This window comes from Homo sapiens, chromosome 3 (assembly GCF_000001405.40).
Source record: "Homo sapiens chromosome 3, GRCh38.p14 Primary Assembly".
In the NCBI taxonomy this organism is placed as follows: Eukaryota; Metazoa; Chordata; class Mammalia; order Primates; family Hominidae; genus Homo; species Homo sapiens.
Window position 1 is genome coordinate 19,143,627 of NC_000003.12, and position 24,870 is coordinate 19,168,496.

The 24,870-nt window shown below is 36.9% G+C and overlaps 1 protein-coding gene across 5 annotated transcripts in view, besides 3 other annotated features; it reads left to right on the forward strand.

The window, feature by feature from the left end:
* Positions 3,139–3,732: an enhancer, noted in NCBI's record as "H3K27ac hESC enhancer chr3:19188257-19188850 (GRCh37/hg19 assembly coordinates)". NCBI's record gives its function as "activates a minimal SCP1, AML or CMV promoter by ChIP-STARR-seq in naive H9 embryonic stem cells {active_cell/tissue: H9 hESC(naive)}" and the evidence as "EXISTENCE:reporter gene assay evidence [ECO:0000049][PMID:30033119]".
* Positions 3,274–3,445: a silencer, noted in NCBI's record as "fragment chr3:19188392-19188563 (GRCh37/hg19 assembly coordinates)". NCBI's record gives its function as "represses an EF-1alpha promoter that drives an FKBP-Casp9 reporter gene in an ReSE screen in K562 erythroleukemia cells {active_cell/tissue: K562}" and the evidence as "EXISTENCE:reporter gene assay evidence [ECO:0000049][PMID:32094911]".
* Positions 3,733–4,326: an enhancer, noted in NCBI's record as "H3K27ac hESC enhancer chr3:19188851-19189444 (GRCh37/hg19 assembly coordinates)". NCBI's record gives its function as "activates a minimal SCP1, AML or CMV promoter by ChIP-STARR-seq in primed H9 embryonic stem cells {active_cell/tissue: H9 hESC(primed)}" and the evidence as "EXISTENCE:reporter gene assay evidence [ECO:0000049][PMID:30033119]".
* The window catches only part of KCNH8 (potassium voltage-gated channel subfamily H member 8), a 387,133-nt gene continuing 367,146 nt past the window's right edge, over positions 4,884–24,870 (forward strand). For all 5 annotated transcript variants that reach the window (XM_017005698.3, NM_144633.3, XM_017005700.3 and 2 more), the window contains exon 1: positions 4,884–5,169. In XM_017005698.3, the coding sequence (XP_016861187.1) occupies positions 5,094–5,169 (76 nt within the window). In that variant the 5' untranslated portion in view covers positions 4,884–5,093. The remainder of the gene's footprint in view (positions 5,170–24,870) is intronic.

A 24,870-nucleotide genomic window follows, 5' to 3' on the forward strand; every position in this document is an offset into this window, starting at 1 on the left:
TTTGCCGGATTATCTTTTTCTCTTCAAAGAAAATACCTTTTGAGCAGAACTTCCATCAATCTGGGCCCCAATAATGAGCAGGCTCTTACCAACTCAGGTGGGACATGTAGACTGAGCAAGAAATAGCATTATTGTAATAAGCCATTGAGATATTATGTTTTTTATTGAGGCATAACCTAGATTACTCTGACTGAAACCATAGCTTTGGAGATTGTGCTGGAGTATTTTAGTTTCTACATACACTGAGAAATAGGCAGTGACCATTGGGGAACAGGAGGCAGTGAACACTGGGGAAGAGGAGGCAGTGAACATACCACTGGAATCCAGCTTGGTTGGATATAAGAGCACAACAATTTGAAAGCGTTAGTCAAAGAAATGAACTGCTTGATTTTCCTTCTGAGCTTCTAAAGTCATTTATATTTAGAAGGAAAAGCTCACCAGTCATAGGTTGTAACAAATTATTAATACATAAATGTGTTCTGAGCTAACAGGACCATAAACTGTCATAGTTGGTCAACAATATTTATTGTGGATAAACAACTTGTATTAGATATGTTAGAACATAAAAAAGAGAACAATGATTATTATCATCCCTTTTATTGTATGCCACATATTATGAGATTCAAAGGCTTTCATAAATATTTTCTTCTACTCAGTGGAGTAAGTAGGGAAAGTATTATTATCCCAGTTTTACAGTTAAGGAAATGGAAACCCACAAACTTTAAATGACAAAGGGGATAAGTGGTTGAAACAAAACTAGAACTCAATACATCTGAGTAGATGCCTGTAAATTAAAATATTGCCTTCTTGCGAAGGCTAAAATTCTTGTTGCCAGAAAAAGTTTAAGAATATTTTCAGTGCCTACAGTCAAATACATATGCATCAATAAGGCATTTGCAGCTATTTTGTGTCATGGTATTGGATGAATGCTATAATTAGAAAACAGACGTGAAGCCGACCTAAAACCATCAAACTAATATAGAGAGCCCTGAAGCTTTTTCCAGTTCCAGTCAGTCTGAAAAGACAACATCAAATGCTAATGAGAGTCAGTCTTAAATAAAATAAGAATAAAAATTGCTTTATCTGTGGCTTATAACTCTTAAGTGAATTTAATGTGTATTTTCTCTCTTGTGTGTTACATTTTCCCTATAAGGAATTATAGAGTTGAACCCAGATCTTGTACCCATAAATCTCAAATGCTTATGGAGACATAAAGAATAGGTAAAAATGGATTTTTAATCACATTAAGGAATGCTGTTATGAGGCAACTTCCTTTGAAACTCAAAATACTAACAAATTGATAGGAAGATTTTAAAACATGGCTCCATTTTATTTGATACTTGTTCCATCTAAAGGTTGGACTTTTCCCCCTTTCTGATTAACCTGGATTCTGTGCTTGCTTTCAATCTGGCCGTTTCTAGATCAGGCCTTAAGAAACTGGCAGTTCCTACTTCCTGTCTCTTCAGACACTCTGGAAACCACCATGCTGTGAGGAAGCCCAAGTAGTTCCTGGAGAGATCTACACCAATAACTGAAGCCCCAAGGCCCTAGCACTGGCTGAGCTCCCAGCTGAAAGCCAGCACCAAATTTCCATAACTTTGAGTGAACCATCTTGGAAGTGTATATTCCAGTTCCAGGTTAAGTGTACTCAGAAATAACCTGCCCCATTGATCCCTGTAAAAATTGGAGATCTGAAAGCAAAATACAATATTGTTGACATTTTAAGTCAGTAGGGTTTGGGGCAGTTTATTGTATCAGTGAACTTTGCCTAGGTTGGTTTTACCTAGAGGCCTTCTATAGTACATAATAGAGTACCTTGGTCTGGTTATAGGGATTTTGTGCCTTCCTTTACATTTTAAAGTGAAAGAAAAATATCTTTTCTGTGAACATGAATTTTTTATTATTATTGTTATACTTTTAAGTTCTAGGGTACATGTGCACAATGTGCAGGTTTGTTACATTGGTATACATGTGCCATGTTTGTTTGCTGCATCCATCAACTCGTCATTTACATTAGGTATTTCTCCTAATGCTATCCCTCCCCCAGCTCCCCAGCCCCCAACAGGCCCGGGTGTGTGATGTTCCCCTCCCTGTGTCCATGTGTTGTCATGAACATCAATATTTTTAATGAGGGCATTAAGTTTACTCTATTGTGTGGTTATCCTGTATTCTTGTAGCATTGTCTCGTTTAGTCCGTAGAGAAAGATCACATCCCTGTAGTGTGTGATCTACTATAAAATGAGTTGGGGTTTTTTGTGTCAATAAAATGAGTTGCAACAAAATGAGTTGGGTTTTTTTGTGTCAATAAGTGGGGACAGTGGGAAAATTTCCTTAAGGAAAGCACATGAGATTTGGTGATTTGGGGCAGATGATAGTGAAAACTCCAGACTCCCATGGTGCTTCTTTCACGGTCTTTGCTTTCCAGGTGGCAAAACATGTTTAAAGGGATTTAATATACTTAAACTTGGATGGAGGTCATGTTCTAATGGCACAATTTGGCCTCACTGATGCCACAAACCCTTAGGATGAACATTAGGTTTCGGGCTAGAACTTAAAAAGGGCCTGGAACTCAAGACCAGAGTGGTGATGGCTGTCTTCATTAAGAAACACTTCTTGGTGGGCAAAGGATATAAGAGATAGTTAGGTCCATCTACTGCAGTTCAGTAGAATACAGGGCTTGAATTTGAATTTAGGGCAGGGATCTTGCCATGCCTAGCACAGTTCCTGACACATAATAGGTGTTGGAGGGGAGACAGTGAATGATAAATGCCAGGCTCCTTTTGCCATGAAACTGGGGCTTTCTTTTGGGTTGTCATTTTTAAGCCACTATGTGGCTTGCTTCTTGCAGTGATTTCATATATTAGGTAACAGATCAGGACCACGAGGAAACAATTTTTACACACACGGCCCTACAGTGCAAATTGTTATGAACCACAGTCATAGCTTACAACTAATACATTTCATCCTGAACTTCGAGCCAATTCACGGGTGGCGTTTATCTCCGTTTTACATCGGCAGCAACAGCCTGAATTTTCTGGGACACGATGCGCCACCCAAACAACAGGGACTCCCTCATCTTTTTCTCCCCAGCTCCGCCCAAGACTGAGCCACATAGCCACCTGCAGTTGCGATCGGCTCGCCGCGTGGGGGACTCCACCCGCGTGAGCTCGGTTTCCGAAAAGCGAAGCTGGGGTGGGACACAAGGATTGAGGGGAGGACAGGGACGGACCTGCGGCAGAAGCAGGGTGCAGCTGGGCGAGGAACCCCACGTTGGTAGCTTCTCTTCTGGGATGGCCGCCCCGCGCCGCCCACTCCGGAATCCTGTCCCCTCCCCGGCGCGCCCCCGCCCAGCTAGCCTAGAGCCTCTGCCGGATCTTCTCGAATTTCAACACAAAGGGAATCCTCGGCCGCAGGAAGTGCATCACGAGAAAGGGGGCCTGGGGGCGGGGAGAGGGGGATGCCGCTTCTCTCTCTTCTCCCCCTCCCTCCCGGAGCCCAAGGCAGACGTGACGAAACCCGCGGGGTCCCCCCCGAAGCCCCAACAGCCGAGATAATTGAAACAAGAAACCCCCTTAGTAAGGGGGCGGGGGGTGGGCCCTCCCTCCCTCCTCCCGCCACGCCCGAGTTCCTGGAGATCAGAGCTGCCTCGCCGCGGCTCTGACACCTGTTTGCTTTTTCCCTCCTTTCCTTCCGGGTGCACTAGCACCTGGGCTTACGTTTGTTTTTCTACCCTGGGGCTCTCAACTTCCCTTCCACACTCCACCTCCCTTGCAGAGTTTTCTATAAAGTTCGGGCTCTGGGTGTCCCCTTGCACTCCCCACAGGGCTGTGCCGCAGGCTTGGGCGACTTTCCCCGCAGAACGTTGGCCGAGAGGGAGTCCCCGCGGGGGGGGCCAGGGGGGAGGACTGGGAGAGACCACTTTCGTTTTCTGAGACGCCTTCAGTTCCTGGCCGTCCGCCAGGCTTTCTTCTTGGAGGTGTCAGTCTTCGGGAGTGGGGGCTGGGGAAAGGGGGGCAGGCTAGGGGATTTGTGTTTGAAGCTATTTTTGGAAGGCAGCCTTACTGTTTTTACTTACGTGGTATTTTGCAAATTAATAAAAATAGCAAACTTTTCTAGAAATGCTTTATTCACATTTTACCGGAGAATGGGAAACCATCCATTGTCCGTTCAAAAGGCTATTTTTTTAAAGTTTGGGATGGCTTGGGGAGGCCAATGGCAATTTGGGGAGAAGGGCTGAAGCACCCCTTTTTGGAGCTCGGGGCCAGTTTCCCGGACTAAAAGACCCTGGTGACTGGGGATGGGCCTCACAACTAACTCGGGCTGCCCTGCCCCTGTCGCGTGGGCTCGCAATGGCAAGTGCTCCGGAAGGGGGCCGCCTCCCCGTGGGGCTCCTGGCTGCCTCTGCTCCCTTGGACACCACTGGGGGGCCTCCCCCTCCTAAGTTCTAGGTTGAGGCCGGATACCTGCCCCGACCTGTCTCCTCCCTTTCTCCAATACCACACCCACGGGACTCCAGTCTCCCCGGGAGTGGGACGGAGAGGGAACAAAGGGGTCTTTGTTCACTGGCTCCCGGGGCGTGGGAGTTGCGCTCGCTCTCCTTTCCCGGCGTCCCGTGGAGACCGGGAGGCTCAGCGCCTCTCCCAGCTCTCAGCGCCGCCCTCCCAGACCCCAGAGACGTCGGTCAGGGCGCGGCGCCCCGGGCCACTGCGGGCTCTTTCCGGGCGGGCGACGTGGGGGGCGAGGCACCGCGCGGCGGCGCCTGGCGGGCACTGTTGCCCGCGGAGGGACGGTGGGGGGGTTTCAGCAGCTGGCGGGGGTGGAGGGGGCGGGAGAGGGAGCCTGCGCCGGGCTGAGCCTGGAGGTGCGGGGCGGGCTCGGGGAGCGCTCTTGGGGCTCCTCCTGCCACAGCCGGGGCGGCTGGAACTCTCTCCCTTTCTCCCTCCATCCTTCCACTTCCCCTGCTCGGCCCCGCCGTCAGGCCGGGTCCCCCTTCCCTGCCGTCATCAGGTTCCCCTTCTCCCTTCTTGGCACTTTCCTTTCGAACCATCCTTCTGGACAAACTTTGATGGAGAATTTCACACCACGCTGGAAAAATGCCGGTTATGAAAGGATTACTGGCGCCGCAAAACACCTTCCTGGACACCATCGCCACCCGTTTTGACGGAACACGTAAGTCTTACACTTGAACGAGTGGTATGGCATTTTCTGAGACTGATTTTTCTCGTACACATTACTTTTGCTCCCACCTTCCCTTTTGCACCAGCGGAGTGAATTTTCTTCTGTTCTTGCCAAGGTATCTTTTGTGCGGAGAAATTTGTTCCCTCATGGTTTGGTGTAGTATTAACACTTTGTATTGGTGTAATAGTTGGCTCTCTTGAGTTCTTGGGTTTGTTAAGGACTGAAACGCAGCCTGAGGAAAGACCGACGCCCGTATTCACTGTGGGACCTGCATTTTGGTGTATCTTTAGGGAATTGGTTGTAATTTTCTGAGGTGAAAAGGGGAATATCGGTGTACCTAATCTTTCTAGAGTTTCAAGGCTCCCTAGATCAAAAGGAGAGCTTGGAGTGTTCTTTCTTGGAGCTTCATTCCGTGATATATTTCGGATAGGTATGATTTTCTATCTGAGTTTAAGAAATGCAGGATTGCCAAGTGTAAGCTTTCTGTAGAATTTTAAGTGTTGTGAGTTTGTCAGAACCTTGATTCCTGCTTTTGAGCTAGAATAGCGTATCTTTTAATCCTTAAATGAGCCTAACACTCAAGCAGAGGCTGTTCAGGAAGAAGGACATGAATAAAGACGATTTGATGATAAGAGAAAGTTTTTAGTTTTTTTTTTTTGAGTACGAATATTATTGGACATTTAGCTCATTTAAGCTACAGTAGGAAAAAAAATAGATAGGATGTTGTGTGGTTGCTAGCAGACGGTTCGTTATCATCTGCAAGTTGTTCTCTTTCAGGACCACGGTCAGGTCCCCACTCCTTCTCAGGCTTTTCAAGCTCTCTACTTGACCCTGTGGATCTTCCTAGCTGGCTTTAACCCTGTAATTAGGAGTCTGTACTACCACCCCTAACAAATGCTCTCAGTTGGTTTCACTACGAATATCCTCATCTTCTTTCTAGCTTATCTTGCTTCTGTGCACTGTCTTCCATTTTTCTGTTGAGACTCAGAGAAACTCATTTATCCTAAAGTCCTTCTTAGTGGTTCAAGTGTCATTGCTTTTACTCTGTATATTTCTTGGAGCTGATATGGGAGAGCAATACTAATTTCATTTCCACTCCAGTAGTCTAAATACACAGTCTTATCTTTGGGTGGGAAGCAAGTCTTGGACTTATGCTTCAGGGATAGTTGGAAAAGTTTACATGAGAAAGAAATGAATCACTTTAATTTTGTTCAGTTTTTATTTTTGACATCTAGTCTAATCATGGTAGTTGGTGTGGATATTTGGTCACTTCATAAGTGTTTTTATCTTTACATCTAGCCATTCTTTTCCCTTTTATATTCTAAATGTGTTAGATGTTATGTATGAGGTGTAATGTTATTACGTATGTCTTTTTTAGATAATAATGATAAATATTATAGGAAAACTTCAAGTCCCTGCCATTGCCACTACCACACCACTGAAGCGCCACACAAAATCACCACTGCTGTGTTTTACCATGCATGATGGCGGATACTACTATTTTACTATTCATTACCTGAGGTACTGATCAGTTTAATGTGGATGTTTTTTTTTTTGAAGTTGAACATCCAAAACTAAAAGGCTGTAAACATTGATCCTGAATTTGTCTATTGAAAATGAGGTAATTGGCAAATGGTAATTGTTTATCTCATTGCCATTTAAAGTTGAATGAAGTGTAATGTGTAGTGAATCATCCCAGCACAGCCTTGGGAATTACTGCAGTGATACATTCAGATATCAATTGCTAATGAGAGGGGCTTTAAATCATCAGCGTGGAAATATCTTGGCCTCTGACTCTGACTATAGTGATATGCATGATAAGCAGGAGGGCATGTAGGGAGAGATGGATGTACTTGTGAATAGTTCTTTTTCTATGTTGGCTACACATTAATGTTAATAAGATAGGTTAGATACTTTAAATCCTTATTTTTAAAGAAGACCATCCTGACATACCTGTATTTAGTATAGTAAGAAATCAAAAAGTCTTTTGGAGACCATGCTTGGTCTGTGCTCCACAGCATCTGGGGGATTCCTGGAGGGAACCAGTTTGCATGAAATCTGACAATCAGAGAAGCAAATTTGAAGGTGATAAGTAACATAAGGGTTGACTTTGGCAAGGTTTTGTTTACAACATTTAGTGAACACCTCTCCTCCCAAGAAACCCCCACTCAATGAAAGAGGGTTTTCTTTTCTCATTTTCTTTTCCTTTCTTTTTTTTTTCTTTTTGAATAGCAGGATGACTTGAATAATCTGAAACTTAAAATACCTTAAACAAAATTTTAGCCACAAATTTTGGTATATCTAGAATAATGGGTATACCATTTTTCCAGCTAGCTATTTACTTTATCTTCTTATGCCATTGTTTCTTGTTGATACAGTTTTGTAATTACTATCTCTGAAACTATTTTCCTATGATAATCCTTACTTCTATTGATTTTTATAGCTGTCATTTATTTTCTTTTGCAAGAGAAAACTATTTACAAATTTTAAATTTACAAAATTGCCACCTACTCAAAAACTTTGCTGGAAAGTGAATAATGTTAATTATACTGAATATGTAATATGCTGAGTTGGTATAATTTTTACCTTATTTGTGAAGTATATTTTACGGTCATGCTAGTTTCTTATTTTATTTTGGACAATTTTTATGAAAAAAAAATTAGAGAGCAAACAACAACCCTGGCAAACTGCCTTGCTAATGTACCCAACATGCAGTATTATTATTAGCCTTATTAATTTATTTTATTGGAGAATAATAAAACAATGTAAGACATCATCTGAAAATCCTCCCAGGAAAAATAAATATATGACAACATAAAACTCTATAACATAATCCTACTATTTATCAGTTGAGATATTATCACAGGGCAACATAATGGAAGTTAATAATACATTTTATAACTTAGTGACACTTTATTATTTTACATATTATAATATTTCTTTTTAATATTTAAAAAGTGAGGTCTGTCAGGATTGAAAGACACTTGTGGATTATTAATTGAGGCTATTTTTTTCTGATATGCAATATAATTTGCAACCATTATTGAAAAATAAAAATATTATATAAAATTACCACTAAATATATTTACTCTTGAAATATGTTTTATGGTTTGTATTTAACTGAAGTGTAGTAAGACTTAGAAAAACTAAGAACCTTAGAAATCTTAAATACGTATACCCCACTTAGGGGGAAAAAGAAAAAGTAATTCCAATTAATTTCTTTGAATTATTACACATAGCAAAAACCACTCACTTGTACCACTCTAAGACATACACATACACACATACACCACACACACACTCCTAACGTTATGGCCTGCAACTAGTTCACTTCTCCATAGTTTTTTTTTAAAACATATTTGCTGTAATTTAAGAAAATCTTTTCTGTTTAGACTTTTGCTTTAAGTAACTATTAATTTGGACAAAGGGAAAGTACAATAAGGGAACACATTGGTATATATTTGAAAAAATATATACCAATGTATTTATATTTGAAAAAATAGTATTTTTAGTACAATTGTTTGTCACAGGATACCATTTGAGAAAAACAGCTTTTTAAAAAAGATACAAAGCTTTCAGAGGGAAGTATCCATTTTCAAACATAATGGTGGATTAGCCTACATTTTCTAGGCATATCAAAATTTGGCCAGACTACTTCTTCCCTTTTGGTTTACTAAGACAAAAATTTAAGTTTTAAAGGAAGTTTGTAGCCCAGTGGACTCCATCAAGAAGATTCCAATCAAAGTATTCAAAATAATGGTTGTTTAGAAACTCATTAATATTTGCATATATTTTATGCACTTCTATATAGCCTGTTTGAAATGGTCCAAAGAAATTTGTTAAAATTGATGCTGGGCGCAGTGGCTCACGCCTGTAATCCCAGCACTTTGGGAGGCTGAGGCGGGCAGATCACTTGAGGCCAGCAGTTCGAGACCAGCCTGGCTGACATGGTGAAACCCCATTTCTACTAAAAATACAAAAATTAGCCGGGTGTGGCGGCATGCACCTGTAATCCCAGCTACTTGGGAGGCTGAGGCAGGAGAATCCCTTGAGCCCAGGAGGCAGAGGCTGCAGTGAGCTGAGATCATGCCCCTGCACTCCAGCCTGGGTGACAGAGTGAGACTCTGTCTTAAAAAGAAAAAAAAAAGAAAAAAGAAAAGAAATTTGTTAAAATTGAAATACTTCCTCTACAGAGGAAATTCTCAGTGGTTTTTTCTTTTTATCTTTTTGCTTTCATCAAGGTACATAGACCTCTTAATGTTAGAAGCATAGGGAGAAGGATAATGTACCCATTATCATACTCTTGACTTTGTAGATGAATTCTGTGCCCTCTAAAGGACTTATCACAGGGGTTCTGATAACTTCACTACAATGAAGAAAGTGTTAGAATTACAGGAATTGGATTTATGTCTTTACCAGAAATGATTTTCTTTTGATTAGTGATATATACAAATAATAAGAAAAGTTGTATTGCACAGTCTTAAAAGCTAACATCAGATAATTTTGACATTATTATATAGAGAAAATGGACATGCAATATGCTGAAAATTGAAATTGTGTCCACGATATAGTCTTTCTAGGCTCTAACATTTTTCATTACTGTCAGTTCAAAGGTCGTGGCATGAGACCTCTTCTGGCCAATGAGACTGGCAAAGGACAAAAAGTCTTTACAGAAGCATATTGAGGATCCTGAGTTACTAGTTTCTGAGATATCCTAGACTCAACATACTTCTGGAAGAGGCACAGTCTTTCTAAAGAAATGTGTACTTTATTCATTCACTCAATCATTTTTCTTTTTCTTTTTCTTTTCTTTTCTTTTCTTTCTTTTTTCTTTTTTTTTTTTTTTTTAGACGAGTCTCACTCTGTCGCACAGGCTGGAGTGCAGTGGTGCGATCTTGGCTCACTGAAACCTCCGCCTCCCGGGTTCAAGCAATTCTCTGCCTCAGCCTCCCAAGTGGCTGGGATTACAGATGCCTGCCACTACGCCTGGCTAATTTTTTTGCATTTTTAGTAGAGACGGGGTTTCACCATCTTGGCCAGGCTGGTCTTGAACTCATGACCTCGTGATCCACCCACCGCGCCCTCCCAAAGTGCTGGGATTACAGGCGTGAGCCACTGCACCTGGCCCAATCATTTTTCTAATAATATTCAATGAATACCAACTTTACACAAAGCCATCATGCTAGGATATTTGGAATAAATCAGGATTATCTTTTTCTCAAATGGGGCAATGTAACATGCACAAATTACTATAATATAGATTAGAAAAAGATAAGTGTAATTCAGAAGGTGCAGACAAAGGGCTATGCACATTTGGGTGAGGGAGGAATAGTTTCTATGCAGGAATGATCTGAGAGGGCTTCATATAATAAATAACTTTGGGTGGGAATGATTGTATCATATATGATAGGTGCAAAAACAATATTCTATTTAATTTGCCATTTTGTACAGTACTTGTCATTGAGGCTGGAAAGAGCCTTTAGTGAGAATAAGAGGCATTTTAAAGGGTGTTAAGGGGTCAATGTAGAAGTAAGAGGGCAATGGAAAGTAGGTTAGACCAGCCATAAAAGATCTTTAAACCCACAGTTTTTGGTTATAATAAGCCATTGGAAGTGATAGATCCATATTTTGGTAAAAAACTATGGTGCCATCTATGTCTAGTTAAAAAACTTCCAAAATGCTCAACCTTCCCATGTTCTACAGTCTAAAGCACACTACAGTAGATGCCAACTTTAGACTTGGGATGTTTCTTTTTACTATCTCTTCTAATAATGCTTTTTAAAATAAAGGTTCCATAGAATGCAGTGAAGTTGATGTGTTCATTTTCTTAGGAATGTTTCTTTCTCCCAGGGAGTTAACTTTCTCTTAAGGAAGTGATAGATTTATTTCTCACCACACAGCTGACTACTCTTCTCCTCCAGGGCGGTTTACCCCTGTATTATTCTAGAGTTATGTCCTTGGTCAAGAAAAAGAATTGAGGGTTTGCTGGAATTCAGTGCCAGTGAACTTGATTGGAGAAATCCCAACAGTAAAAGGTAAAGAGTTGGAACTGCTGCAAAGATAGTATGCTTCGCCCTGGCAGTATATATTTGCTGATCTCATCTAAATGCTGTGTTTAAAATCCAAAATACAAACATCAAAGATGAGACTTCAACTTCACCTATGACCTAGTTCATATTTGGCAACTGGAGCAATTGAAGAGCTTTCTCAGTAATTTAAACAGGCAAATATAGTTATTGGATTATAAATTCCCTGGAAGATATGTTTTGCTTTCCTTTATAGTTGTTAATACAACCATCTTTGTCACATAAACTCTTCAAATGCCACATGTCCCCAAATGAACTAATAATCTTTTCTAGCCTTTGAAACCTATTTGTTTTCTTACATGTTCCAGCCTCATTATTGGCATCACGACCCATCCAGTTCTTCAAGCTGCAAATCTGAGTTGGCCTTGACTGCCTACACATCTAATTAATTATCAAATTTTTAATATTTTACTGCAGAAATGCCCTAATTTGGTACCTCAATTCCCTCTTTATTGCTTCTGTTTTAATTCTGATCATCTTTTTCTTATCTCTACAATTGCAGCCTTTCTCTAACTAGACCCCTGTGACCATCAGTCCCTTCTACTCCCACTTGTTCAGTTTCCATTGTTCCCAGAGTGATTTCCATTAAAAACAATATTACCACTTAATCATGTAACACTCCTGCTTAGAGCCATCCGTTGGCTCCCTGCTGCCTTTTGGATAATGTCCAATGTCCTTGGCATCATCTGACCCCAAGATGATTCTGCAGAATCTTTTCCAACCACTGTCTCCCAGGCTACACACATACTCATTCTAAATTCCCTGCTCTTTCATGGTTTTGGGACTCTGCTTTTCACTTGAAGAGCAAGATGCTTTTTGTTCAAGATCCATCCTAAAGATTACATTCTATCAAACTCCTTCTCTGAGGCTCCGAGTAAAGTTACATGACATTTCCCCTATACTTCCACATGGCCTTGCCCATTCCTCTAATCAGCTTTTATATGTGCTATAATTATATGCTTTCATATTTTAACACTCGACCATGAACTCCTTGAAGCCTTAACTATGTCATTACTCCCATTGCTTAGACTTATAGTTGAAATGGTCTTTGCTCAGTAAATATTTCTTTGAGTAAAAGAATTTCAACTTCTTTGAAGGCCAGGGCTGAGTATTAATTATATTTATCTCCCTTTAGTGGTACCTGGTGTTCCTTTTATTCACTATTGCATGATTACCTTTAGTTTTGAGAGAGAATACTGGACTGCCTTCCAGCCTCTTATTTTCACGTGGTTCAAGCACAAATTTCTTTTACAAACTCTAGTGATAATAGTGTCTATCATCTTGGGCATGTCTACATGCATGCTGTGTACTGTGCTGGTGCTTTTTCTGTTCCTATCACAACCCAATAACCCAGCAAGGTGGAAGGCAGCACCCACTTTTTGAGTCAAAGATGACAAAATTCAAGCCCAGAATTCTACTATATCATATTAGCCTGTGATTTTTCTACTATATCATACTGCCTCTAAAATGTGCTTGTATAGCAAGTGTAAACAGACTAGGGTGGTTTGTGGTATCGTTTCTAGTTTCTAGCTCTTGCAAATGAGATATTTCTTTAAAGATTTTAGCCATTTCTAGTTTATATGCTGTTTGTTCCCCTTTGGATATATTATGCTTTAAATACTTGTCATTTAAGTGATGTTTTAAAATAGGTATTAAAGATTCATAACTGGAACTACTAAATGCATTCACTGTGCAAAGCAGTTTAGCTCATCAAAGAAAATCTAGTGTCCATTTTTTTTAAAAAGGAAATCCATTTTCTTTGAGATTTTTCTGTTTAGAATTTGCTGACTGTAGTACTCTCTAGTGATTTCCTTTTGTTGTGAGGTTAATCTGTCTGTGAAGATATTCTAATTCTCATAGCTATTATAGTGATATCATTTTGGATATTTACCTTGTTAGGGTCATATAGAGGAAATTCTTCCATGTATTTTGAGTCTGCTTTTATTGGGAGGAATATATTTTCCAGTGTCAGGTACTGTTGACATCTTTTAACAGAAATAGTTTACCTTTTCTCCACAATGAACTTGCAGGAAGAAGTAAGGGTAGTTAGCCCTCCAACTCTCAAGTCTATAAAGCTTTTTTTTTTTTTTTTAAAAAAAAGGTTTTCTTTTGTTCTATTAAGTATTTTGGACAGACATCTTTATTGTATTTGTCAGTCCAAATGAATCTTTTATTCCAGTTATTGAACTAAAGGGAACAGAGACCAGAGCACTTACCAGTCTTACCATGTTTTATTTGATTTTCTGGAAAAAAGGATCCACATAAGAAGTTCAGATTTTATTGAAATGCCAAATATCCAGTTTGACAAGAAGTAGATGGCTCTTACCTGTGGTGTTCTGGCTATTCCTTCAATGGAGAGAATAAAGTAGAAGGTAAAATTGGGCAAGGTTTTTACCTTAACATCTGGATAAATGTTTTGCTGTGATTTGATGAGTTATGGAAAAGAATGAGGGTATTGGGCCTGGGGCAATGAGAAGGAGCTTTTGTGTTGTATTAATTTGGTACAGTTTTGGTTAGGCTACATCTCAGTCATCTGAAAATGAGCCTGTCCTTCTCTCTCAACAAATGTGTAATTTTAGGTTTTAGGATACATCATTAATAAAAATTTAGGCCTCTTGTTTAGCTGTACAGTACTCATATTATATATTGTATTATTGCTTCTGGCAAGTCAAAAGTTATAAAATTATTTGGTAGATATTAATAATGGCTAATATTTGTATAGCATTTCAGCATTCTTTATGTCATCACTTGAATTGTTTTCAAATTAATGGATGAAAAGTGGTTTCTTGTGATTGTTAATGTCCATTTGTTTACTATAATTGAAGTTCAGAATTTTTTAATATGTTTAAGAGATATTTAAATGCTTTGTTGAGCATTACTTGTTTATATTCATTGTCTCTTATTAACTGAATTGTTGTTTTTCCCTTTTTTGACATCTTTGAGCCATTTATATAGTTTTAAAAATGGAACACTTTATTAGTAACACGAATTGTATACATTGTCCCAGTTTTGGTTGGTCTTTTGATTTTTATATAGATGAATTAATAAATTTCCCTGTTATGATATCTAGATTTTGTGTCATACTTAGAGAGGCATTCCCTATTTTGAAATTACTATTATTATTATTTCTAATTTTTCATTTTTGTGGGTACATAGTAGGTGTATAATTTTTAAAACATATCCCATATGTTCTACTATAGTTTTATTTTACGTATTCAATTTTTTTCTCCTCCATTAATAAGTTCTGTAACTTTTACTTTCAAATTCCTATCCTAAGAGTTTATAGACTTAAGAATTGGACAAATTTCCTAACAATGTTATTCAACAATTCATCTTCTTTATGTTAGTTTGAAATGTCTAGTTTATCATATTTTATATTCCTCTATGTAATTCTATTTCTTGACTTTCTATCCTATTATATTAACTGATCTTTTTCTGTATATTTTAGTACTACAATTTTAATTATAGAATATTTGTGATATGTTCTTAAAATTCTCATTCCATGATTTTGTTCTCAGAATTTTATTTGACTAATTGTACTTATTTGGAAGTCTGTATGACTTTAAGTATCAGATTTTCTAATTGAAAAAAATCCTGATGGTATTTTTAATGGACTGATCTACAGGAAATACGACATTTTTGTGATGTTGAACATTCATATTCAAAAACTTGCTAGGTATTTTTATTGTTTACACCTTTTGAGGGAGTTCTCAATAAAACATTTTGTACTTATTTTATTCCTAGTAATTTTATCTTTGCAATTGCTATGTAAAATAGAAAGTTTTCTTTCACTGTTTTGCTTTTTCTAATTCAATCATGTTTGTTTACTTGAAGGAAATTAACTTCTATATGTTATTAATTTTTTTAACCAGCCAGCTTACTGACTTTCTCCTATCCTTTGTAATAATTCTGGTGTTGGATTATTGAAGTTTTCAGATAAGAAATAATACTGGTCTTAAATAATAAAAATTTTGCCTTTTGTTGCTAATTTTTGCAACTCTTACTTTTTCCCTTTTGTTTAATTGCTTTGGCATTTTAAGACCAATGTTAAAACATGGCGACCATAAAGAAAACCCTTCTCCTTCTTAACTTTAAGGGGTATTATTTTATTGTTTTTCTAATGAGTGTTTTCTGGCTTGTTGTTTGAGAGGTAAATATTTTATTATATATTTGTGCTTTATTAGAAGACTTTGTAATGTATTCCTATTTCATTAAGCCTTTTTATCCATTGTCATTTTATTATCTATCGAGACTATTCTTTCTGTGTTATTGAATCAATTAATATAATGAATTCAACAGATTTTATAATATTGAACTATCTTTGCATCCCTTCAATAAAAGTTACTTGCTATGTTGCTGGATTTTCCCTCCACTAATAGGACTTTTACACTGAATATATATAGAGAGATATATATGTAAAAATATATATACACACAAATATAATATAGTGTATATATAGTATGGTATATATATACACATATATGATATGATGTACATATATTGGAATTTACATTCTTTTCTTGGACGTGTATATTATTTGACTTTGGTAAGGAAACTACACACCCATATTTGTGCCGATTACAAGGTGGTCCCACCTGGTTTAGCATTTGTGCCGATTTTTCATATTGTAATAAGGCATTGTTATTCATTGTTGCATGAAAACAGGGCCAAGATTGGTTGGCAGATCTCCAGTTCTTATAGTTTTGGCTGTGGCCTTGTCTAATAGTGTCTCAAACGTTTGTGTAGTGAATATAGTTTTTACTTCAATGTGTGTTTAAATCTGAAAGATGCCCAGAAATATCACATATTTTTCAGACACAAAAACATTTGTATCTAAACACTTCAGATACGAAACATTTGTATCTATATCTATATCTGTATCTATATCTATATATCATCTCCTTTCCTACAACAACATGCACATTGTACACCAACTAGTAATGTCTCATAGTCTGTGAGAGCCTGAGGTTACCAGCCCACAAGTTAGTGGAGTCAGTTGGAAATATGGGAAATTATAGTGTATGTATACATGCAATATATTTAGAACTTTTCAGTATCTTTGGTATTAAAAAAATCCTACAATAAACCTTTTTGGGATCAATGACCTAACAAAAATGAAAAATAAGTTTAATGAATTATTAAATTCTCATTTCTAAGAAAATTGATGATGCATAGATAACTGGGAGAAAATGCAGACATTTACATTTGTCATGGGTGCCCACATTGACTGCATTATAGTCACTGACCACATTAAAATCAGAATGCATAAATCTGCTGAATAAGCATCAGCATGTATTTTAAAAACCAGTAACCGATTTAAGAAGACTGTACTTAAAAATTATGATTCATTCTGCAGAAGGTATCTTGGACATATTTTGTGAAGCATGACTTTTCATTTAGATCAAAGGACTGCTCTTCCAAATGAATTTCATTTATTCATTTTTTTTGGTAAGAGTTTTTTATGATATAATTTACATATATTAAATCACTCCTTTTAAGTGTAGAGTTCATTGAATTTTGCAAAATATATGCAATCATGTAACCACCACCACAGTCAAGATTTAGAACAACATCCTCAGCCCCAAAGGTCAGTACCCTCCTCCCACTTCCAGTACATAGCAGCTACTAATCTATTTTTATGCCTAAAATTTCCTTTGTTTAATATGTAATTTTAATGAAATTATATACAGTACCCGGCCCCTTAACAAGCAGCTTTGCTTTCCATGATTTCAATTATGTTCTGTGAGCTGAATCCCAAAAATATTAAATGGAAAATCCCATAAATAAACAATCCATAAGATTTCAATTGCACACCCTTCTGAGTAGTGTGATGATATCTCACGCTATCCCACTCCATCCCACCCAGGATGTGAACTATCTCTTTATTCAGAGTATCCATGCTGTACATGCTACCTCTCCTTTAGTCACATAGTAGGCATCTTGGTTATCTCATCAACTGTTGCGGTTTCACAGTGCTTGTATTCAAGTAAACCTTATTTTACTTAATAATGGCCCTAAAGCGCAAGAGTGGTGATGCTAGTGATTCGGCACCACCAAAAAGAAGTCAGAAAGTGCTTCCTTTAAGTAAAAAAGTGAAAGTGCTTCCTTTAAGTAAAAGAGTGAGAAGAGGAAAAAATATGCTGAGGTTGCTAAGATCCACAGTATGAATAAACCTATCTGTGAAATTGTGATGGGAAAAAAATTGTGCTAGTTTTGCTGTCACACTTCAAACTGCAAAAGTTACAGCCACAATGCATGATAAGTGATTAGTTAACATGAAAAAAGCATTACATTTGTGGGTAGAATACATGAACAGAAACATGTTCCAATTGAGGGCAATTGGGTTTGGTACTATCGTCGGTTTTAGGCATCCACCAGGTGGTATTGGAACATATCCGTCTCAGGTAAGGGGGAATTACTGTATGTAGCATTCTTTGTCTGCCTTCTTTCACTTAGATAAATGATGTTGCAATTTATTCCTTTTTTCGAGGGAAGCAGTAGTTTGTTCTGTTTTATTGTTGAAAATTTTGTTCATTTTGATTCCAAGTTTTCTTCTGTGTGTAGAAAAGAATGAAGCACCAGTGATTAATGTGTTGTTATTAGTAACAGCACTTGGCAAGTATTCATGTCATCAGGGTTTCCAGTGGAAAACCAGTTAACTTTAATAATGGTTGAACTTTTGTATCTAATTGAATTGAAGTAAAACTTTTCAAAGTTCGTTCTGTAGGTGAATTATATTTCTCTGTAAATGTTGTTGTAAATTCAGTTTAAAAGGTCATTAAAGATAAAGGTATTAATTTTATGGTGACAAAGCAATTGTAAATTTTTGTAGAGCACAGTAACATGGCAAAGACTGCTTTCTAAATTAATAAAATGTATGAAGCATAAATGTTCTTGGACTTGATGTAGTGTACACATAATTCACTTTTGTGTTAATCACTATAGAAGCTGGATTGGTCAAAATTACCACATATTTTTATATGTGGTGAATTAGGTACAGTAATTACACTAAGTGATTAGATACATTAAATACAGAAAAACTATTTGGCATGATACTACGTGGTTTCTTTTTTTTAATGCCTGTTGTCAGAGTTTTGAAATATCTGAGCCTTTGAATTATTACTTGTAAACAATCTAAGTGTTCAACAAAGTTATTAGTCTTTTCTAAATGAGCCTTTTATGTTTTCTTTACATTTTATTTGAAATCACTTGAAAATATTTAACCAAGGTTTGTAATTAAACAAAACACTAAAAACTTCATCTTTTAAACATTTTAACAAATAGCAACTTTTTAAAAACAAAACTTGCAGATAGAAGCACATTGAAATGTACTACTGAAGGCCAGGCGTGGTGGTCCACACCTGCAATCTCAGCACTTTGGGATACCGAGGCAGGTGGATCACTTGAGGCCAGGAGTTCGAGACCAGCCTGGTCAACATGGTGAAAACCCATCTGTAACTAAAAATACAAAAAAAAAAAAAAAAAGTATCTGGGCATGGTGGTGCATGTCTGTGGCTGACGCATGGGAATCACTTGATCCTGGGAGGTGGAGGTTGCAGTGAGCCAAGATCACGCCACTGCACTCCAGCCTGGACGACAGAGTGAGGCTCCTTCTCAAACAAAAAGAAAAAGAAAAAGAAAAAAAGAAATATATTACTAGATAAGGAAGGGAAAAATATTAAACAATGAGAGCTCAAACTATTTACTAGACTTAATATTAAAATGATTTAATTTTTCTTTGAGATATTTTAACTTAGAAAATATTTTGGTGGAATTTGTTTTTAATTAGATAAATTTAAGTTCCGTACTGATTTTGCAATCTCTAAATCTGGAACAACATTACAAAGAATCATATGGACACCTATTATGATAAATTTTTATATTACAAAAATGTTTTTGAAGGTAGTTACCCTGAATGAGGCAAAATAAGAGGTAATATTTTGACTGAAATGTTTGCACTTTCCAATATAAAAAGTATATAATTCAGAATATTCGTAGCATATCAAAATTTGGGGGAAAAGTAGAATTTAAAATATCCTGTATATAGCAAAATTTGCTGTATGCCTACAGGTTATTTTAGCAACCATAGATAATATTTTTTCAATTAAAATTTTTATGGTCTGTTGTGAATAGTTTATGGAAGATGTCAACAATTTCAAATTTATTAACTATGAAGTGCACCTTTGAGGAAAATTACAGGCAATTTTATGAAAAAAATAAAAATAATGATACTACATAGAGGAAAAGCAAAAACATAGTCTTCAGAATAACACCAACAACTTGGCATAAGAGACAGATATGGCTAAATACATGATTTAAATATGACAAAATATAATAAAATATTATTGTGTTTAGTGTACTATTTTATTTTCAGGTAATGTGTATATATAAAATTATATATATATATAAAACAAATAATTTTACTTTTTAAAATAGTTTTGCAAAAAGTAAATTTTATAGGTTTATCAATATAATAAAACTAGTCAAAACTAAAACCAAATACTTAAAGAATTATATTATTATTTAATACTTACTTTCACTCTCAAAGCAGTCCCTAATTTATACCTTATTTTATACTCACTTCATAAAATCATTTTCAAAGCCATTTGAACTAGGCAGGGGTTTTGGGTGTGCCTCAGATTGCCAAGCACAAATTTCCAAAAAGTAGACTTTTAAAATAATTTAATTTTTATATTATCTTCTGAGGTAGATTGATCAAATTGACAAAAATTATTCCACAATTTTAATTGTTAATACACAGTTGACTCTTGAACAACAGAGGTTTGAATTGCGCGAGTCCACTTATACAAGGATTTTCTTCCACCTCTGCCTCCTCCCATGAGACAACAAGACTGACCCCTCCTCTTCCTCTTCTTCCTCAGTCTACTCAATGTGAAGATGATAAGGATGAAGACCTTTATGATTATCCACTTCCATTTAATGAATAGTAAATCTATTTTCTCTTCTTTATAACTTTCTTATTAACATTTTCTTTTCTCTAGCTTAATTTATTGTAAGAATACAGTGTATAGTACCTATAACATACAAAATACATGTTAATTGACTGTGTTATCAGTAAGACTTCCAGTCAACAGCAGGCTATTGGTAGTTAAATTTTGGGAGAGTCAAAAGTTATATGCAGATTTTCTACTGGAGGGAGGTGCCCCTAGTTCAAGGGTCAACAGTAAATATTAAATATTCAACAGCTGATATAACACTGATATCTCTTTAATTTTCATATGCTAGAAACATTGACATGCAGATGACACGTGTCTCTTTTGACCTGTCATTGCTCCTAGACATGTTTATTGTGCTCACTTGAGAGACAAGGAGCCAGAGAACCCTAAAGAGGCTAAGTATTTTTGTCTCAAAGCTAGAACAGGAGAAGGCTTGGCTGTTATTCTCCTCTTAATTGCAAAACCCATGCTCTTCCTTCAAATTTACTGTGCTTTTAGTTTGAAAAGAGGAAAAGGGAAGATAATTAACATTTAATAAGCAAATTTGGACCTAATGCTGTACTTGATATTTTCACCTTCCTTAGTTAATTTAATCTCAACAACAATGCAAGTTAGATGTTTCTGTTCTGACTTTATGGATTGGGAAACTGAAGCCTAGAAAGGTTTAATAAATTGTCAAAAGTCACACATTTTGTAAGTAGTGAAGCTGGAATCTATACACATGGTTTTGACAATAGCAGGCCCTGTTTAATAAAAGGCAAAAATTGGATCTAAAGTGTAAGGCATTAAATTTATGATTAAGAACTTGATGATCATACGTGACTTCACTGTGAGATACTTACAAGCTATTTTTATGCTTTTTAAGAAGACATTATCTGGGAAGCTCAACATATAAAGTCGCCAACTGGCAATGTTTTATAAACAGTATTTAGTAGGTTACTCAGGAATTTACCTCTCTTGTTAGAATAAAGTACCCACAAGGCTGTTTTTACCTAAGGAGTAATAACCCACTGGTGTTGGAGAATTGAGAGCTCTGCTGTAAGTCCAAAGCTTGTTAATATTATAATATATTCAGAGTTATCTGTAAAGCAATGTCACACTAACTTGAATTTTAAAATGCTTCTGGCTCATCAGTGGTTCTTTAGGGGTGGGGGTCAGGATCAAGAGGGGTGGAATTACAAGAGACATGAAGAAACTTTTGGGGGTGATGGATATGGTCACTGTCTTGATTGTGGTGGTTTTGGGCTTATACATCTGTTAAAGTTATCAAATTGTACACTCTGTGCAGTTTATTGTACATGAATTGTACTTCAAAAATGCTGTTAAAAATGATTTCTGGGGTGGAAGAGAGAAGGGTAGAGTTAAAACTACAGCACTATTAGGTTGGTGCAAAAGTAATGGCAAAAACAGCAATTACTTTCACACGAACCTAATAGAATGACACGTCCTCTGCATTCAATTTTCTCAACTCTGATGAGCAGCCTTTTCTGGAGTATTATTGTTTGTGCAGGTACAGACTATTGAACGTAAACTATTACTTGAGAAACAAGTAATGTTAACAATGAACATAGTCAAATTAATAATACAAACCTATTATTTTAACAGTAAAATTAGATTAAAGTTAGTGTTGATTTTTTTTGGTCATTAGCAAGCTTTGGACTTACAGCAGAGCTCTCAATTCTCCAACACCAGTGGGTTATTACTCCTTAGGTAAAAACAGCCTTTTGGGTACTTTATTCTAACAAGAGAGGTAAATTCCTGAGTAACCTACTAAATACTGTTTATAAAACATTGCCAGTTGGCAACTTTATAGGTTGAGCTTCCCAGATAATGTCTTCTTAAAAAGCATAAAAACTACAGACTTGTTTTCTATGTTAGTTATCTACTCACTTGTTTGTGAGTTGGGTGGGGAGTAATCTAATCCAAGTTGGGCTTAGCTGGGTTGCTCTGGGATCTTGGCTGAACTCACTCATGTGTATGTAGATTGTCTACAGGCTCTGCTCCTGTGGGCTTGGCTGAGGAAGCTCAACTAGGGCATTTCTCCTCCAGATGTCTCTCCTGAAATGCTGAGCGTGATCCTGTCAGCAGAAGTAGAACAAAGCCAGCCCAATAACACAAATGATTTTCAAGACTTTGCTTGTGTCATGTTCGTTAATATCCCTTTGGCTAAAGTAAGTCACATGGACAAGCATGGGCTTGGGAATGATGCCCTCCCACAGTGAGTGGGAGCTGAAAGTTATGTTTCAAAGGATAATTGGAGTCAATAATAAAATCCATCATATTTGCCTTATTATTGTTATCTTTGGGGGAAAAATAACACGTTTCAAAAATTAAAAGTTATTTTAAAAAAGGTTAGACATCTTTTTTTGTAAAATGAGGGTTTTGTATCTTAAAATGGCTTTTTTATTTCCTCACATACACATGCAGTTAATGTTTACAGTGAATGCCATAGAATACAAAATTTATGATGCTACCTGTGAGATACATAAAAATGTTATCAAAAAAGAGTTCTGATATTTCAATATGATTAAAAACTGCACATGCAAAAAAATACACTTTTGTATAATGCTTTGCACAGTCAGCCTACTTTTACAAGAATATAAGCTAAAAAGGATGGCAGTCAACTCAATCCTGTTGATCAGTGTATGCTTTGTCCCCAGCATTGTTCGTAGTACATAGTCCAAACTTCAAATATGTGTTGGATGATTGAATTTGTAAAATATGAAAAAAAAACTCGCCTGCCTCATTGGAAGCTTTCATAAAGTGAAGAACTTTTCTAGTTAAAGGAGGCAAATTTGATTAAATTGTTGGAATGCTATCCAAAAATGGACAGTAGGCTTGGGGACAGCAATAAGAAAATCAGTAGGTTCTTTGAAAGTCAAATCAAGGATGGTGATGGTATGTAATCTTAAACTCTATGCTGCACTATAAAGCAGCAGGGATATCTAGTACCCTTAAAGCAAGTTTTATAGATTTATCCACTGAATAATAAATTTTTAAATGTTCTGTGACAAAGTCATCAATGTGAGCTATTTGACCCAAGGTGACAAGGCCACTAGTGGTTAGTATAGAAGGATTGCAGCTCTGTTTAAAGTATCTCAGTTGTGGTGCTGGAATGTCTGCTGTTAATAACTAGCTGAGGTTATATCCAGCCTCCTGCATTATTAGGTATTGTGGTATGTTTGCATAATATTTCCAAATGTTCTCTGTCACAAGTGTCTCCTTTATTTGTTCCTCATAGCAAAATGAGAGAGACATGGAAGACATTTTATCCCAATTCTACAGATGAGGAAATTCAACATTATTTGGTTTATAGTCATTAGCAGGTAAATGACACAGACAACACTGGGGCCAGTTGTCCTAATTGTCAGACCTGTGTTTTAAGTTGTATCATATTGTTACCAAAAAGGGTTGATGAGGGAATTGAAAAGATTTAAATAATTGAAATCTCATAGGCATTGAAGCAATGTTGGTTTTGCTAACGTAGATGTGTCATAGTTTATTCAAAACATTTCTTCTTATAAATCGAAACATTTGTAAGATTTCCCCCATTTAAATGTGAATCATTTTATAAAATGAAGATTCCTCTTTCAATTTATAAACTGAAAATTTATCAGTAGGGAAGATTATCTATTGAATCATATTTTTTTATAAATTTGAGACCAAGGAATGTGATTCTACTTTCCCTCTCAAAATAAGGTATTCCTGCATTGCTTTTTAGGACTTTTTACAAGTCAATATCCTTTTATTAATGAAAATACTTAAGGCACGAGAATCGTAAAAGTGAATGGCAATCCAGTTACTGTACACAGATTCTGGTATTTTTCTATTCCATTTTTTATAGATAACTATAGATTCACATGCAGTTATAAGAAATAATAGAGAAATTACAGATGCCCTGCGTCCAGTGTCTTCCAGGGTATTCAACTATAACACAGTATCACAACCAGAAATTTAACATTGAAACAATTCACCTACCTTCTTCAGATTTCACCAGTTTTACATGGAATCATTTGTGTGTGTTTGTGTGTGAGTGTGTGTGTTTGTATTTAGTTCTATGCCATTTTATTATATGTGTAGTTTTGTGGAGCAACCGCCAAGGTCAAGTTACAGAACAATTTTATCACAAGAATCCCTCATGCCATAGTCACCTCTCTCCACTTCTTTTTTTTTTTTTTTTAAGATGGAGTTTCACTATTGTCACCCAGGCTGGAGTGCAGTGGCGCGATCTTGGCTCACTGCAACCTCTGTCTCCTTGGTTCAAGCGATTCTCCTGTGTCAGCCTCCGAGTAGCTGGGATTACAGGTGCCTGCCGCCATGCCCAGCTAACTTTTTTGTTTGTTTGTTTGTTTGTATTTTTAGTAGAGACAGGGTTTCGCCATGTTGAGTAGGCTGGTCACTAACTCCTGGCCTCAGGTGATCTGCTGGCTCAGTCTCCCAAAGTGCTGGGATTACAGGTGTGAGCCACCGCGCCCGGCCCTCTGTTCCCCACTTCTATAATTCTGTCGTTTCAAGAACATCATATAAATGGAATTATATAGTAAGTAGTTTTTGAAGTTGACTTTTCTACTAAACATCATTTCCTTGAGATTCATCCAAGTTGATACATGCCTATAGCAATAGTTTCTTTTTAATTGCTGAGTCATATT